This window comes from Homo sapiens, chromosome 1 (genome assembly GCF_000001405.40).
Source record: "Homo sapiens chromosome 1, GRCh38.p14 Primary Assembly".
Taxonomy (NCBI): Eukaryota; Metazoa; Chordata; class Mammalia; order Primates; family Hominidae; genus Homo; species Homo sapiens.
Window position 1 is genome coordinate 84,853,888 of NC_000001.11, and position 15,566 is coordinate 84,869,453.

General features: G+C 42.5%; 1 protein-coding gene across 1 annotated transcript in view, besides 1 other annotated feature; it reads right to left on the minus strand.

The window, feature by feature from the left end:
• LPAR3 (lysophosphatidic acid receptor 3) overlaps positions 1-15,566 on the minus strand; it is an 81,605-nt gene that overhangs the window by 42,286 nt on the left and 23,753 nt on the right. The window contains exon 2 of the mRNA NM_012152.3: positions 11,498-12,251. Coding sequence (NP_036284.1) covers positions 11,498-12,233 — 736 coding nt within the window. The 5' untranslated portion in view covers positions 12,234-12,251. The remainder of the gene's footprint in view (positions 1-11,497; positions 12,252-15,566) is intronic.
• Positions 536-785: an enhancer, noted in NCBI's record as "active region_1259". NCBI's record gives its function as "activates an Ori minimal core promoter by ATAC-STARR-seq in GM12878 lymphoblastoid cells {active_cell/tissue: GM12878}" and the evidence as "EXISTENCE:reporter gene assay evidence [ECO:0000049][PMID:35858748]".

A 15,566-nucleotide genomic window follows, 5' to 3' on the forward strand; every position in this document is an offset into this window, starting at 1 on the left:
GCCTATTTAATTGGGCCTGCATGGTCTTTTAACAAAAAATGAAACTGATTGTCTTTACACAGGGCATGATCTGTCTAGTTAGCCACAGGCACCACCCCTCCCTATTTCCTTATATCCACTCCAGACCCAATTCATATACCCATGTTATCTGCCTAGTCTCTCTTAGATATCTGACAATGAAGTCCACAGGACCCTAGGATCCAAGGCCTTCCAGTCTCTGGCTCCCTTATGTCTCTCAAACCAGATTGTCATTACTATTCAAACTCCTTATTCCAGAAATCAGTCTGCCCAGTCTCCCCTTTCTACCCACGGCCCTGGCATGGCCTCCCTAGACATATGTATACCTGTCTCCCACCCTGCCTTTCCTCCTATCTGCAATGCCTTCCCCTTTCCTCTCCACCTGTTACACTGAAATCAGGCTTATATTCTACCTTCTCAAAGAGGCCTCCATGGACCATCCAAGCCCACAGCATTTTTTCAGCCTAGGCCCCCTCATTCAGCCCTTATGTATATTTCTTTGTGCCTTCAGTTATCTTTTTTGAGTACATTTCTCATTTCCTCAAATAAGCCTGGAAATAGGGTTCTCTATTAGTCACACACAGGAAAAGCCACACAGAACAGGTCTGCCTCCATGTCATCTATCTCTCATGTGACACAACCGTTGACTCATAAATCTTGGTCATTTCCTGACAACCATAAACCACTAGAGCAAGCACAGATTCACAGTGCCTTCAGGGTAGAGGCCATGTCTCATAGTTAGTACACTGCCTAAAACCTAGCAAGGTAGTCAATAAATGTTTATGATGAGAAAATATAAAATGCAGAAAAAAACATAAAGAATAAAATAGGTTCACCACTGAGCAGTAAATTCTCTGACTTGATGAAAACAACGCCTGTTGTGATTCACTGTCACTCAGGCATCCAAGGACAGGTATATTTTGCCAAGGCAAGAAGTTGGGACCCACTAGAAGAAGCAGGAACTAGAAGGTCCAGAGCTGCAGCCACAATGCTGCAGTAATTTACAAAGTGAACTTGGTCAAATCTCTCAACAGTATTGATTCTTTGAGGTAATGGGATCTTTCCGCCACATACTCTGCAGAGTTAACAACAATCTGGTGGTGAGGGAGAGCAGGTGGCTGGGCTGGAGGGACAACTGTCAGTGCAGGAGGGAAGATGACTCCTGCCAATAACTCTTGGTTCCCTTACCCCTTATCCCAGCTTCTGTGTTGATCCCTAGGTCCACGACAGGGCATAATTCCAGCAAACACCCTTTACTCCCAGTTCCCACCCAACATGTTTGCCATAGATACACAATGAACATAGTAGTCCCCAGCTGAAATTTTCGAAGTACAATGTTAACATGGAATTTGATAAAATTCTACCATTGGCCAGCACACACCATACTATTCCAGATGTTGAATTAGCCCAGTGATATGACGCCTGAGTCACAGACGATGACCACATTTCTCCTTTGGCAGAAATCAAAGCCCTAAGAGAGGGTGTTCCTGAGTTCTGGAACATGAAACCTTCCAGGAGGCTGGGTGTTGGCAGGAGGGTTGGATGTAGTTGGGTACTGGAACCTCTCCCTATACCTTCTTTTCAAAGAGGTCAAATTTGAGAAATGTTTCTCCACCTTGCACTCAGAAAATATTCAATAATTGTTTGTTTCAGCTTAAGAGGAAGGTTTCAGTTTTCTAAAAAGAAGAAAAGCCAGAAGTTCTGAAGAAGGGGGCATGAGAGGGGAATAAAAGAAGCTGAGTGCATTTGGTGTAATGGAACTGAAGGGGTCTGGACCAGAGGAAATGGAAGAAGTAAGAGGGCAGGGCAGTGGTTACATTGGAAACAAGAACACTGATTTGGGAAAAGCACTTCTAAACTGACTGCCAAGGGAGGTGTCTGAAACAGTGGCGTGGGGGGAAAAGAAAGAACCAAGAGCCAGACTTGAGGTAACAAATGGCTACATATGGCAGAGACAGAAGAAAGAAGACAGACTCCTGGAAATGTGGTGTTGGAAGAGGTGTCAAGATGGCATTTGAACAAGTGGGATGGAGTGCCATATGAGGGATTTTCTTTTTTAATTTGAAGCTGTCTTCCTTCCAGCATCAGACACTGAGGTCATCTCAGTCCCCACGTTCCCCGTCAGAACAGGAAGGGATGTGTCAAACAGCAGCGTAGGGGCAGCAACTGAGTGGCAACTGCATTTTTGCACCCACCGATTGACGGCCTGCCCTGAAAACAATGCCTCCCTCCCATAGGCCTCTGTAGCAATGCCATGAAGCACACAGGAAAATCATCTGTGACAAAGGTGCTCCTGGGACTAGCCATTTCAAGACAAAAGTACGAACACCCCCGGACTCAATGTACTGAGTACTGGTGCCTGGATGGCTTGACTCTGAAAAGAATCACCCTCCTTCTGATATGACTCTCTGCACAGCAACAAGAGAGCCCCTGTGTGCCAACAATCTGTTCATTTCACTCAGCATTTCTTAAGGCAAAGCTTTAACTGTTTTCTTTTTTTCTATTTTAACAGATATTTGATTACTAAGGCATGCAGGCAGTAAACATTGAAAGCAGGCTTCTGTGTTGCAGAAGCAACTACAAGGCCACAGAAGCTGAAAACAAATGTTTCAGAATTCCTCACGAACTTAGGCACATGTACTTTTTTTTTCTCTCTCTCTCTTTTTTAATGGAGTAAGGACAGTTCATCGATGAAGCTTATGAATAATACCAAAAGGCCTGTGTTTTGGTCCCAACTCTTTTCAGTCACAGGGCAAACTTTCCAATCCTAGCAAAGGTGATAATAGCAGCTGACGAACTAGCTACTCTCGAAGGATTTGTTAGCAAGAGGGGGACAGTTTCTTATGAGGACCATCCTATAATAGAGCTCTATACACAAGATGTTGGTGCTGTATCACAGGACTCTTGTCAAGCTAATGCTTTGTGGCCAGGGTCTCATTTATAATGTTTTATTCATAAATGTTGCAAAAGTGAAATGAATTATTAATGGAAAGATCATCTGTCAGAGACAGGAATCATTAACAGAATTTCGTAGGGGAGAGGGTGGTTTATAGGGACTAGCAATGTAAGCACAGAGCTTTTCAGTTCTGTGGTGACCATGTGTTCAGACTGTCCTGGGTCTCCAGTAACAGAGCTGGTACCATTTGCCATCTGTCAAGGCAGCCTCTGCAAAGCACACCCGGTCAGCTTCCTCTTGGCTACTTGTCCATTTTATAAAATCTGCCATCATGATGGCACCAACAGTAGGCTTCTAGTCCCTGTGTCCAGGTTACTTGGTGATAGAACTGGACATAAAAGGGCATTCTGCTTGAATACAGGGCATGGCTCTTTAGAATCAAACTAAGGTCTAAGAGTAGCTAATATTTACTTAGTACTTACTATGTACCAAACATTATGCTAGGTGCTTTATGTGTATTAACTCATTGAATCCTCAACACCTCACCATGCCAAAGATACTATTATCCCTTTCTTACAGATGAAAAAACTAAGGCACAGACAGGTGAGATGAATTGCTCAAGGTCACACAACTTGGAATTGACAAAGCTAGGATTTAAATCCAGTTCCCCCCGCCGACTCCAAAGCCCCTATTCTTACCAATGATTTTAATAAGCATAAAGTTTGAAGAGTATAGAGCTGTCATTTTCCAGGAGATGTTTTCATAGCTGTCACTAGCATGCTGCAAAACATTTGGATCAAGGGCGAGCTAAATGTTGAAAGAGCATGTGACTTTACAGAAATGAACTTTATAGAAACCAAGGGAGATACAAGTTATAAACTTCATGACTTGGGTCCAATCGTTCCAGCCCCCTCACTTCCAAGAGACTATTAACTGACTCTGAAAAGTAGAGTATGGAGCCAGTCTCCTGGGGTTGGAATCTCAGCTCTGCTACTAACCTTGAGCAAGACATTGAACCTTTTCGGGCCTCAGTTTCCTCATCTGGTAATAACAGAACTTCCCTCAAGGGTTGTCATGAATGCTAAATGAAATAAAACATATAAGTTACTCAGAACCATGTATACCCCACAATGAATATTAACTATTAATAATTTTATCAATACGGGTGTGTGGGCAAGAGGCTAAGTCCACTCGAATCTCCTTGTCTTAAAAACAGATCTGCATAGAGTTGTTATGAGGGTTAAGTGAAATAAAATCCTAAAAGCCTGGAACACGCTGACCTCATCATAAGAAGCATTCAAAAAATGCTCATTTCTTTTCTCCTTCCCAAGATAATACTATCGCTTAACCTTCAGAGACCTCGGCTTCTCATATTATAAAATTATAAGATAAAACAAGGGCCGGGCATGGTGGTTCATGCCTGCAATCCCAGCACTTTGGGAGGCCGAGATGGGCAGATCACTTGAGGCCAGGAGTTTCAGACCAGCCTGGGCAACATGGCGAAACTCTATCTCTACTAAAAACATAAGAAAAGTAGCTGGGCATGGTGCCACATGCCTATAATCCCAACTATTCAGGAGGCTGAGGCACAAGAATCACTTGAACCCAGGAGGCGGAGGTTGCAGTGAGCGGAGATCACACCACTGAAACTCCAGCCTTGGGCGACAGGGCGAGACTGTCTCAAAAAAAAAAAAAAAAAAAAACCTAAAAAACACGATTCTTACCTATTTCCCTCCCTTGTCTACCTGACAGGCATGTCTCAGCCAGAGCCCATCTAAGGCCAAGATGGAAGTGAGGAAACCTGGGTTCTGCTTTTAGCTCCAGCATTTGAAAAGCCACTTACCTTCCCCTCAGCCTCAATTTCCTCATTTATTCATTGTAGTACATCTCAACAAGTGTGTGCCAGATAGGGTGCTAGCTGAGAGTACTAGCTGTTAGATATGTAGAGACAGATAAATAAGGTACAGTCCCTGACTTCGAAGGGTGTATACTCTAGTGCAAAATAAAGGCATGTAAACAATTAAGTACGTTGATTGTTGTATGGACAAGACTGACAGGCAGCCCAAGGGAGGCAGTAATCAGATTTACTCCAGTAGGGCAAAGGAAGATTCAAAGAAGATAGACCTTTGAGTTAGGTCTTACAAGGTGAATGGGAGTTTCCCAGGCAGAACTAGGGGAAAGGTATCCCAACATCTGCAAAGGCTTAAAGAGACAAAATGGGGGAAGCGCAAATAATTCATTATAGCTTGAGTATAGGATACATCTAGGGGAGTTGCAGGAAAATCGGATAATAATACCTTAACTACTTGCTTGGCAGGATTTCCATGAGACCAAAGAGAACAGTGTATTAAAACTGAAAAAGACACAGTACTGCAGAAACATCATGTGTGATTATTATTAGTACTCTGGCAAGGCTCTTTATGGTACTTAATTTTCACCCATTTCCTCCTAGCATGAGAACTTGAGCTATCGTTTCGTTGCTTACTGCTACTTTGCCTTCTTCCTCTCTCCCCTAAGAGACAAAAGAGGATGATTTAGCATCAATCTAAGTGGAGAGGAGGGAGGAAGAAGTGAGAAGAAAAACAACCAGCTCCCTGTTTTAATTACCACAAGCCCTAAGTCCCTTAACAACGATAATGTTTCATATTTTAAAAGAGTTCAGTGCTTTCTGGCAGAAAAATAAACCTTGACCCTCAAGATCATGGTTTTTCAAACGTTCTTGACGATAACTCATGATAGGAAATACATTTTATATCACAACCCAGCACACACACAGGCACGCAAAGAAAGGTTATAAAACAATATTGATACCTGTTAAATGCAACACACTCTGACATTTTCTCTTCTTTTTATGTCATTTTAAAAAGTGTTGCTTACAATCTCATCAGTGCATCAAAACTTACAGTTTGAAAAACATCACTAAAGGACAGGAGGGTTCATGGAAGACTTCAAAAGAATGGTTTGCAAGTCCCTTCCCTCTTTCTTTTCTCTTGTATTTTAAGACACTGCAAAATAAAGCAAAGTCCAGCCCATTTTCTGGGAAATAACAAAACATTTCTGTGTGCACAGTTCACATGGTGTGTTGTTTGACAATAAATTAGACGTTTCCATGTGGGGTTTCTTGTGTGTTTGGTTGCTGTAGCTGATTAGGCTTGTTGACAAGTAAGATTTCAAAACCCTTTCTTAGGCAGGGCCTTGGTGCTCTTTGGAAAGCAGGATCGTATGTCTCCGATGTCTTTTCAATGAGAACATTCAATAAGCAACTTTTTTCACATAAAGGGCCCCATCACACATTCTAACCCAGAAGTGAGCAAGCATTTTGCCTCAGGGCTGCTGAAACGGGAACATGATGCCTTGATGCCTTTCCAATCATGCACACACAGATTGAAAACTCACATCACCATCATCACTACCACCACTACCCTCAAGGAAAGAGTCTGAATCCCCATGCTGTTAGCTTTTGTGTTCAACCAAAATCCCAAAGCTGGAAAGGAACACAAAGGTCATCTGGTCTACTCTCCTTCCAAAGAGGATAGCCAACTAAACTTTGCTGGTTCACAGGTGAGCTATTTTTCCACCGCACCACAGCAAGTATTTGTACTCTGTGGGGCCTTCCTCATGGTAATGCACAAGCTTTAAATGTTTCTATCATCACACTTCTGAGTATGCCATTTCTCCCTCTTAGAATGTGTCTTCCTCCAGCCCATGCAAATCCCACCTATCCTTCCAGATTACATCCCAGCCCATTAAGAAGCCGTCTCCACACTCAACAGCCCCTGTCCATCCTTTCCTCTTCTGAAATAAGATTAAGCTCACTGAATTCATGCAACCATGTACCTCTTAGATACTGTTTAATAGACAGTTAATATGTACTTAGAGACTGACTTTCTAATATGTAAAAGAAGAGGGTTCGTAAGAAACTTTAGGATTTAATTTTTTTTTTTTTTTTTTTTTTTTGATACGGAGTCTCACTGTCACCCAGGCTGGAGTGCGGGGGCGCCATCTTGGCTCACTGCAACCTCCACCTCCTGGGTTCAACCAATTCTCCTGCCTCAGCCTCCTGAGTAGCTGGAATTACAGGTGCCTACCATCAAACCCAGCTAATTTTTGTATTTTTAGTAGAGACGGGGTTTCACCATGTTGGCCAGGATGGTCTCAAACTCCTGACCTCAAGTGATCCGCCCGCCTCGGCCTCCCAGAGTGCTAGAATTATAGGCGTGAGCCACCACACCTGGATGGATTTAATCTTAAATGAATCTTTCCTACAAAATATGTATCAAGGAGTAAATGGAAATGTTTAGCATTTTATCATAAAGACATTTAAATCCTCCAATTATTAAAAACATGAGTATTAAGCTATTCATCTCCACATAATCAGAACCAGTGATTAGATGATGGTTAATGCCAGCACTGTTGATTTTTCTAATATACTATCATTTGGGAGATGCTTGTTTCAGGCAATTGAATTCTTACATGTAGTATGTAGGGAACTGGGGGCTTTCTCCCTAGGAAGATACTGTGGTAGGTGCTGCTGTCAAGGAAAGAGGCTCTGTGCTTGGATCCACAGAAATGTTTGGTGCTGCCCCACAAGATTCATATTCTCTCTCTCAATCTCTCTCTCCCTCTCTCTCTCTCCACTCTTCCTTTTCATTCCCACCTTTGGTTACTAACTGTCATAAAGGATAATTGAACTTTGTAACTTGTAAAGAACTTAAAGATGGTCTATGCCACCTGATGAGGGAATCTAACCAAGAAAAGATGAGCTGATGTGCTGCAGATCACCCTTGTAGAAAATGAAAGAATTGGGGGTAAAACCCAAATCTTTCTGTTATCTAGAGAAATCAGGAGCTGGAAGTCTTCAGCCTTACACCACCTAGCTCTTGAGTTTCATTTCCCTCGTCCCTGAACTTCCTGTCTTCCACCAGGTTCCTCTGTCTTACCATTAAGGAACTTCTGAGGTCCTTGACACCAAACTGTCTTTCTTCCATTAACCAATTCCCCAATGTTGTCTTATCTCAATTGCATGACTTCTCTTATCCTACTTGGAAATTTAATTGTTCATTCTGGTTTTTCTCTTAGTCAATACCACACCTGCCAAAACCTCCCAGCTCCTTTCTTTTAACCCCTTCCGTAACTGTTGCAGACAAAATTACATACAAAACTGAAGTTTGTGACCATGACTGTCTCACAAAGGGTCCTGTTCTCTCCACCTAGGATTTTGGAATCCTTGTCTCTATCATGCTGTATACTATATTATAATATGATGAGAAAAGAAAGTTTTCTTTTTAAGCAGGCGGGTAATTTCTCAAGACACATAGCCAAGCAAATGATTATGCCTACAAGTTAAGCAGGGACAGCAGCACAGTTCATTGACACTATCTGTAAATACCAAAGTTCATTCTTTATCAAAAACATCAATATCTTCTCCAGCTCGAGGGGAAATGCCGATTAATGTGAACCCTCTTTTTCTTGTTCTTGTCCATTTTCTTATCAATGTGTCAACGGTGTCAAAGCAGAAGACAGGACAAAAAGATGAGCGTAAAAAGTCCAGATAAATCACAAGTAGCCACAGAGTATGGTGGTAAATATGTGAACTCTAGAGGCCAGCTGCGCAGTGAGTCTTGGTTAACAGCTGAGTGACTGGACACACTGCTTAAACTCTCAGTTTCTCCATCTGGTAAATGGGTATAATAGTAGCACCTATCTCACAGGGTTTCCATGAGAATTAAATAAGTTAATGTTTGTAAAAACACTTAGGACAATGCTTGGCACATATTAAGCACTATATAAATATTTGTTAAATAAATCCTCAGTTTGAAATTATTTTAACAATCACACTCTGTGTCTGCTGACCCCCAAATCTTACTAGCAGTTTCAGGACCTAGAGGCATTGTGAGGGTTTCTATACCACACCACACATACTGTATCCTCCACTATGAACTGCTACCTGATAATTCATTTTATAATTCCTTCTCATAAGGAGTAGACAGAAATGTACTCCTGAATCTCTCTCAGCAACAGTCCCCATTGCTGCAGCCACACACACAGTGAGAAACGGCCTCTCTGCCTTACAAGACAAGTTCTGTGAAACCACAAAAGTTCTTGTCTGCCCACACATTACAAATTCTACCTGTAACCCAGAATTAGAACTGGGGAGGTGGGGCAATAGGCCACCTACTTCAGAGAAAATAAAACAAAGGGAAAATTCTACGAAACCACATGTCTTCTTGGTACAGGGCTCACAACCTTTCTCTCCTCCCTTTTTTTTTTTTTGGTTTTGTTTTTGTTTCTTAAGACAGGCTCTTACTCTGTTGTTCAGGCTGGAGTGCCGTGGTGTGATCACAGCTCACTCAACCTCAACCTCCCGGGTTCAAGCGGTTCTCCCACCTCAGCCACCCAAGTAGCTGGGACTACAGGTATGCACCACCATGGCCAGCTAATTTTAGTATTTTTCATAGAGATGGGGTTTCACCATGTTGCCCAGGCTCTTCCTTTCTTTCTCAATTTTACTCCAATCAGGCTCTTGGCTATACCAAATGTGATGATCTCAAGATCAGCACAAGTCCACCACTTTGGTAAGGCCAGCAACACCTGGTCTTACACCACCTCTCAGGGGTACCAACACTGCTAATGCTTCCTCTCCTCGATTGCCTTCTTCTCTTTCTTCTAGTTCCCCAGAGTCTCCTGGGTTTTCCATCCCTTCTAGGGCTCCTTTGCTGGCTGCCCCTTACCTCCTGACCTCCTTACACTGGAGGGCCTGCCCTACGGCTCCATCCTTGGTCCTCCTCTCCTTCATATCCACATTCACGTTCATGGTGAGCTCACGCAGTCCTGTGATTTAAAATACCAGTTTCCCCCCAGGACTCTCAAATGTACATCTCCAGCCCAGACCTAAATCTTGAATTCCTGAGTCAAACATCCAACTGTCCACTCAATAAAATTGCCACACCCCTTGGATGTCTAATAGGTTCCTAAATTTAGCTTGTCCAAAACCAAATCTTCCCCCAAAACCTCCTCCTCTTCAGTCTTCCTCATCTTGGTTAATGACATTCCCCACCTTCTCCTCCACCTCTCATCTTCCCCTCTACCTTACCCATCAGTAAATCCTTTAAAAAATATCTGGAATCTGGCCAGGTGCAGTGGCTCACACCTGTAATCCCAGTACTGTGGGAGGCCGAGGCAGGCGGATGGCTTCAGCTCAGGAGTTCGAGAGTAGCCTGGGCAACATGGTGAAACCCTGTCTCTAAAAAAATTACAAAAATTAGCCGGGCCTGGTGGCACAGGCCTGTAATCCCAGCTACTTGGGAGGCTGAGGTAGAAGGATCACTTGAGGCCAGGAGGTGGAGGTTGCAGTGAGCTGAGATTGCACCACTGCACTATAGCCTAGATGACAGAGCCAGGTCCTGTCTCAAAAAAAAAAAAACAAAAAACAAAAAAACAGAATCTGACCATCACCTTCAACTACCATCTGGCCATGGTGATCTCTCCCGAGTACTGAAATACTCTATTAACCCATTTATGCCAGGGGTTGCAAATTTCTTTTGTGAAAAATCAGAACTTGTCAATGACCTTGAGCAGTAGGATATAAATAACTCCCACAAGCTTAGCATTCCAATAATGGAACACTAGGCATAAATAGGTTAAACAATTTTCCTGTTTTTGCTATTGCCTCATTACAGCAGTGTCTTAAAACAGTAGCCAGAGAGATACCATTAAAATATAAGTCAGATCATGTCACTCCCCTGTTTAAAACCTTCCCATAGCTTCTCATCTCACTTGAGACTGGCCCAGCCAACATGGAGAAACCCCATCTCTACTAAAAATACAAAAATTAGCTGGGCATGGTGGTGCGCTGCCTGTAATCCCAGCAACTTGGGACGCTGAGGCAGGAGAATTGCTTGAACTCGGGAGGTGGAGGTTGCAGTGAGCTGAGACGGCACCACTGCACTCCAGCCTGGGTGACAGAGTGAGTGAGGCTCCGGCAAAAAAAGAAAAAAGAAAAAAAAATGAAAAGCTGAAGTCCTTATAACCACATGACCCTACATTATCTGAGTAGCCCATCCCCTACCCCACCAGCTCCCTGACCTCATCTTCTCCTACTCCCTCTGCTCGATCCATGCAGCCATAGTGGCTTCCTGGCTGGTCAGGGCTCCTGTGCTTACCGCTTCTCCCACCTGGAACACCCTTCCCCAGACACCAGTATGGTTCACTCCCTGACTGCCTTCACACCTCTGCTCAAAAGTCATCTTCCAGGCATCCCTCACAACACTTTTTTAAAGTGCAAACGATACCTGCTTAGCTTAGCACTCTCCAGCTCCCTTCCCTGCTTTATTTTTCCTTCCTTCCCTGATTGATTTTTCCACAGGAGACTCATCTTATTTCACTTAATTTGTTTACCCCCATTAGAATACTTATTTTATCTTTCCTTATTAGAGTGTAAGCTCCAGGTGGGTGGCGATTTATGTCCGTTCTTGTTCACTGCTGCATTCTTACTGCCTAGTAAGTGCCTGGTACACCACAGATGCTCCGTAAAGATTTGCTGAATGAATGGGAATGATGGCTTGCTTGGGTCCTCTTACCTACCTAAGACAGTCATCACCGTCTTCATTAGCTTCATGGGTGTCCTCCGGCGGCTGATGGACCCACTTGTATGCGGAGACAAGACGTTGGTTTTCCTCTTGACGTACACGTAGATCCGCAGGTACACCACAACCATGATGAGGAAGGCCATGAGGTTGGACACTGTCCAGAAAACAAGGTAACTCCTGCTGTAAATGGGGGCCAGGGAAGAGCAGGCAGAGATGTTGCAGAGGCAATTCCAGCCCAGTGTGGGGACCGCCCCCATAAAAATGGCGATGGCCCAGACAAGCAAAATGAGCAGTGTCACCCTCTTTTTGGTCAGGTTGCTATGGACCCGCATCCTCATGATTGACATGTGCCTCTCCACGGCGATAACCAGCAAGTTGGTGAGGGAAGCAGTCAAGCTACTGTCCAGAAGCCCCTGACGGAGAAACCAGCGGTTGACAGTCAAAGTTTTTGAAACTGGGCCTGTGTTAAACATCAGGAATACATAGGCAATTCCAGCGAAGAAATCGGCAGCAGCTAAATTAGCCAACAGGTAGTAGAAGGGGAAATGAAATTTTCTGTTTTTGATCACTGCCGCGATGACCAGAGAATTAGAAAAAAAAATAAACAGGCAGAAAAACGTCCCAACACACAAAACAATCACAAGCTTTGTTCCTGTCCAGTCATCGACAGTATCAGTGTTGCTCCTATTATAAAAAAAGTCCATGTGCTTGTCATAGTGACACTCATTCATTGTGGAGAAGTGAACATCCTAGAAAGAAATTTAAAGAAGAAACAAATATCATTTGTAAAATCAGTCACTAAGCCATCAATTGCTGTTTCTAAGCCCGTTCTGGCTAACTCCCATCAAGGGAGTTGAAGACCTGAAGTGTCAGGTCTCAGTGCAAATGTCCTTTGGTCCAGGACATAGCCCCTGACCTCCTACCACAGCATTTAGCGCACATTTTAATTGTTTGTTTCCCAGGCTAGGCCGCTCAGGTTAGGAGGGTGTATCTCTATTTTGTTCACCATTACAACCCTAGGATTCAGTTGCTCTGTCTGCCTCATGGTGGGTAATTATTGGTAGGTTGGCTGGCTGGCTGAATGAATGAATGAATTCTCATGGAGGCATCAACAGGGCAAATGTGCTGAGCCCTGCAATATCCACTCTGCACTGGTAACACAATGACAACACATTATGTTAATGCCTCCTCCTGGCTCCCAGTTCATTAGTTATTTATGGATATGTTCATTAATCAACGGCAGGTTGGTAATTTCAGGTACATTCTTCCCAAGATAATAGGAGTTGAATTACCATTCACATAACCAAACAGATACCCCAAGAGACCAGTTTTCTATGACTTCTGATTCCACTCCTGATCCTCCTTTTGCCATCTTTTGGTTTCAACAAACAACTCTGATATTCACATATTAGGTATATGATGCAGGGATGGAGACTTTGGTCCCAATATCTCCCTTCCTTACCTTTTGTTCACTTCTTCCTTATAGTCTCCTAACCCAAACTGTACCAATGTGAACCTGCTCACTGGATTTTCCAGCATTCCTCAACACGGCAGGTGGAGGAGGATCGGGCTTCCACAGGCAAGACTGAGATTTGGAATTGGGGCAGATCTCCAACTCAATGTGGATGTGAGAACATATCTATTAAGTGAGGGCATGTTCTTCAGACACTTGTCTGAAAGAAGACCCCAAACTGGGATATCAGGCAGACAGGGAAGACACTAATCCTCTCAGTAAAAGATCTCTTGAATCCCAAAAGCGAGGGATCTTGGCCAAGGAAGGGCTGGGCAGAAGCCCCACGGATGCCCATCTGTCTACACGTGGTGGGGAAAACCAAGTGTTCTGCCTCACAGTGGTCTGGCCACAGCCATGAACGGTCCTACGGAAGAAGATTGGGCTTAGGGTCAGGGTTCTAGCTTCTTGGAAGAATGACCATCTGCTCCCTCACTGAGAATGAGGCTGCAGCTTATTCCCTGGAGAACCAGAGATTCAGTCGGCAGAGGGACTGAGCAGCCCTCTGGGAGCTGTGACAGTAAAAGCTCAGTAAAAGCCCCCAGATTTTAAAGTTCCTGAAAATTCTGAAATCTAATACCACAACCAGAATCAAGAAGACCAGATAACTATTAAGTAGTACAAAATAGAAATGTATCTCAGTCTTTTTTTTAATTTATATTTTAATGGTATAATGATACTTTTACATGAATTAGATATTGCTTTTTGGCCATAGCAAATGGGAGGTAAATATCATTTTATATGCTTAAAAAAAACTGGGAGTAGTCTCAAGAGACAAATGGTTCCAGTATCTTTCAATTACAAGAAAGGAAGACTCAATTTTCATAATGACAAAATAAAAATTACTCTCTTTGGCAGACAGTCACCAATATTTAACTGTAAATATCAAATAAATTCATGATAATATCATATATTTACACTATATCATAATTTCCCCAAATTAAAAATACAGGTAGTATAATTTTAATAGCTTCACAATATTCTATTATATGAATAGGCCACACCTGACTTAACTAATCCTAAATACTGGACATTAGGGTTGCTTCCTGTATTTCACTTTTATAAGCAAGGCTGCATTCTTGTTCATTAATCTTTATATATCTAGCCAATTGTTTCTTTAGGAATAACCCATAGATTTCAAATTGAAGTAAAGGATATAAATCTATTTAAGGGTTTCTGATACATCTTGTGAAACTCCACTTAAGAGAGATAGCATTTTTTTTTTTCCAAGATGGAGTCTTGCTCTGTCGCCCAGGCTGGAGTGCAGTGGTGCAATCTTGGCTCACTGCAACCTCTGCCTCCTGGGTTCAAGTGATTCTCCTGTCTCAGCCTCCTGAGTAGCTGGGACCACAGGCGCATGCCAGCACGCCCGGCTAATTTTTGTGTTTTTAGTAGAGACGGGGTTTCACCATGTTGGCCAGGATGGTCTCGAACTCCTGATCTCAGGTGATCCGCCCACCTTGGCCTCCCAAAGTGCTGAGATTACAAGCATGAGCCATCACACCCAGCCTGAGAGATCATATTTTTAATTCTACCAGCAGCATATGAGAGTTAAATACAAGGTGCTAATCTAGTGATACTCAATTTAAATATTTAAAGAGAAATACAGCTTTCAACCATGTTGAAAGTATACAGAAATTCAAGACAAACAATCCGAGAATCACTTGCTATGGTCTGAATGTTTGTGTGCCTCCAAAATTCATGTTGACACCTAACCCTAACTGCAGTGATATTAATAGGTGGGGACTTTGGGAAGTGAATGGGATTAGTGCCCTTATTGAAGAGGCCTGAGAGAACTCGTGAGACCCTTTTTGCCACACTGCCATTCAAGGACACAGCATTTGCCCCCTTCTGGAAGCAGAGACCAGGCCCTCACCAGACACCAAATCTACTGATGCTTTGATCTTGGACCTCCTAGCTTCCAGAATAGTGAGCAATAAATTTCTGTTATTTATTAATTACCTAAAGTATTTTTATTATTGCAACAGGAATAGACTAAGACACCACATGGGAAAATTTAATAATACAATTATTATGTGTCTTTTCTAATTAAAAATAATGTATATATTTTACTTTGTTTCATGCTCTATACATCTAAGAGAAACATTTCTAATTTAAAAGTTATATTATCTTTGACTAATTTATTAGAAATATAAAGATGAATATGTCACAAAGACATTGGAATTAAGACACTACAAAAATACTACTCAAATTTTCCTAATTTTATTTTGAAGGATCTTAACATTTTAGTTTTATTTCTTACATGTGGTCGAATTTTTAATTATATCAAGCACTAACACCTCAATGATTTTTACTTCAAAAATCTTCAAATTCAACTGTCCCTTGTCAAAACCAAAACAGTTTAAGACATGTTTTTAGCAAAAATTGCCCTGAGACTGCAAAGCAATTTTGTCTGACAAAGTTGAGACATCACAGAAAAACTATGATTAGCCAGAACTCCCACTAAGCAGCACTGTACCCTGGTTCCAGATCCTACTTTTGAGAGAAACAGGTAATGAGAGAAAAAAAACTTCGCATAGGAAATTGGTGAAAA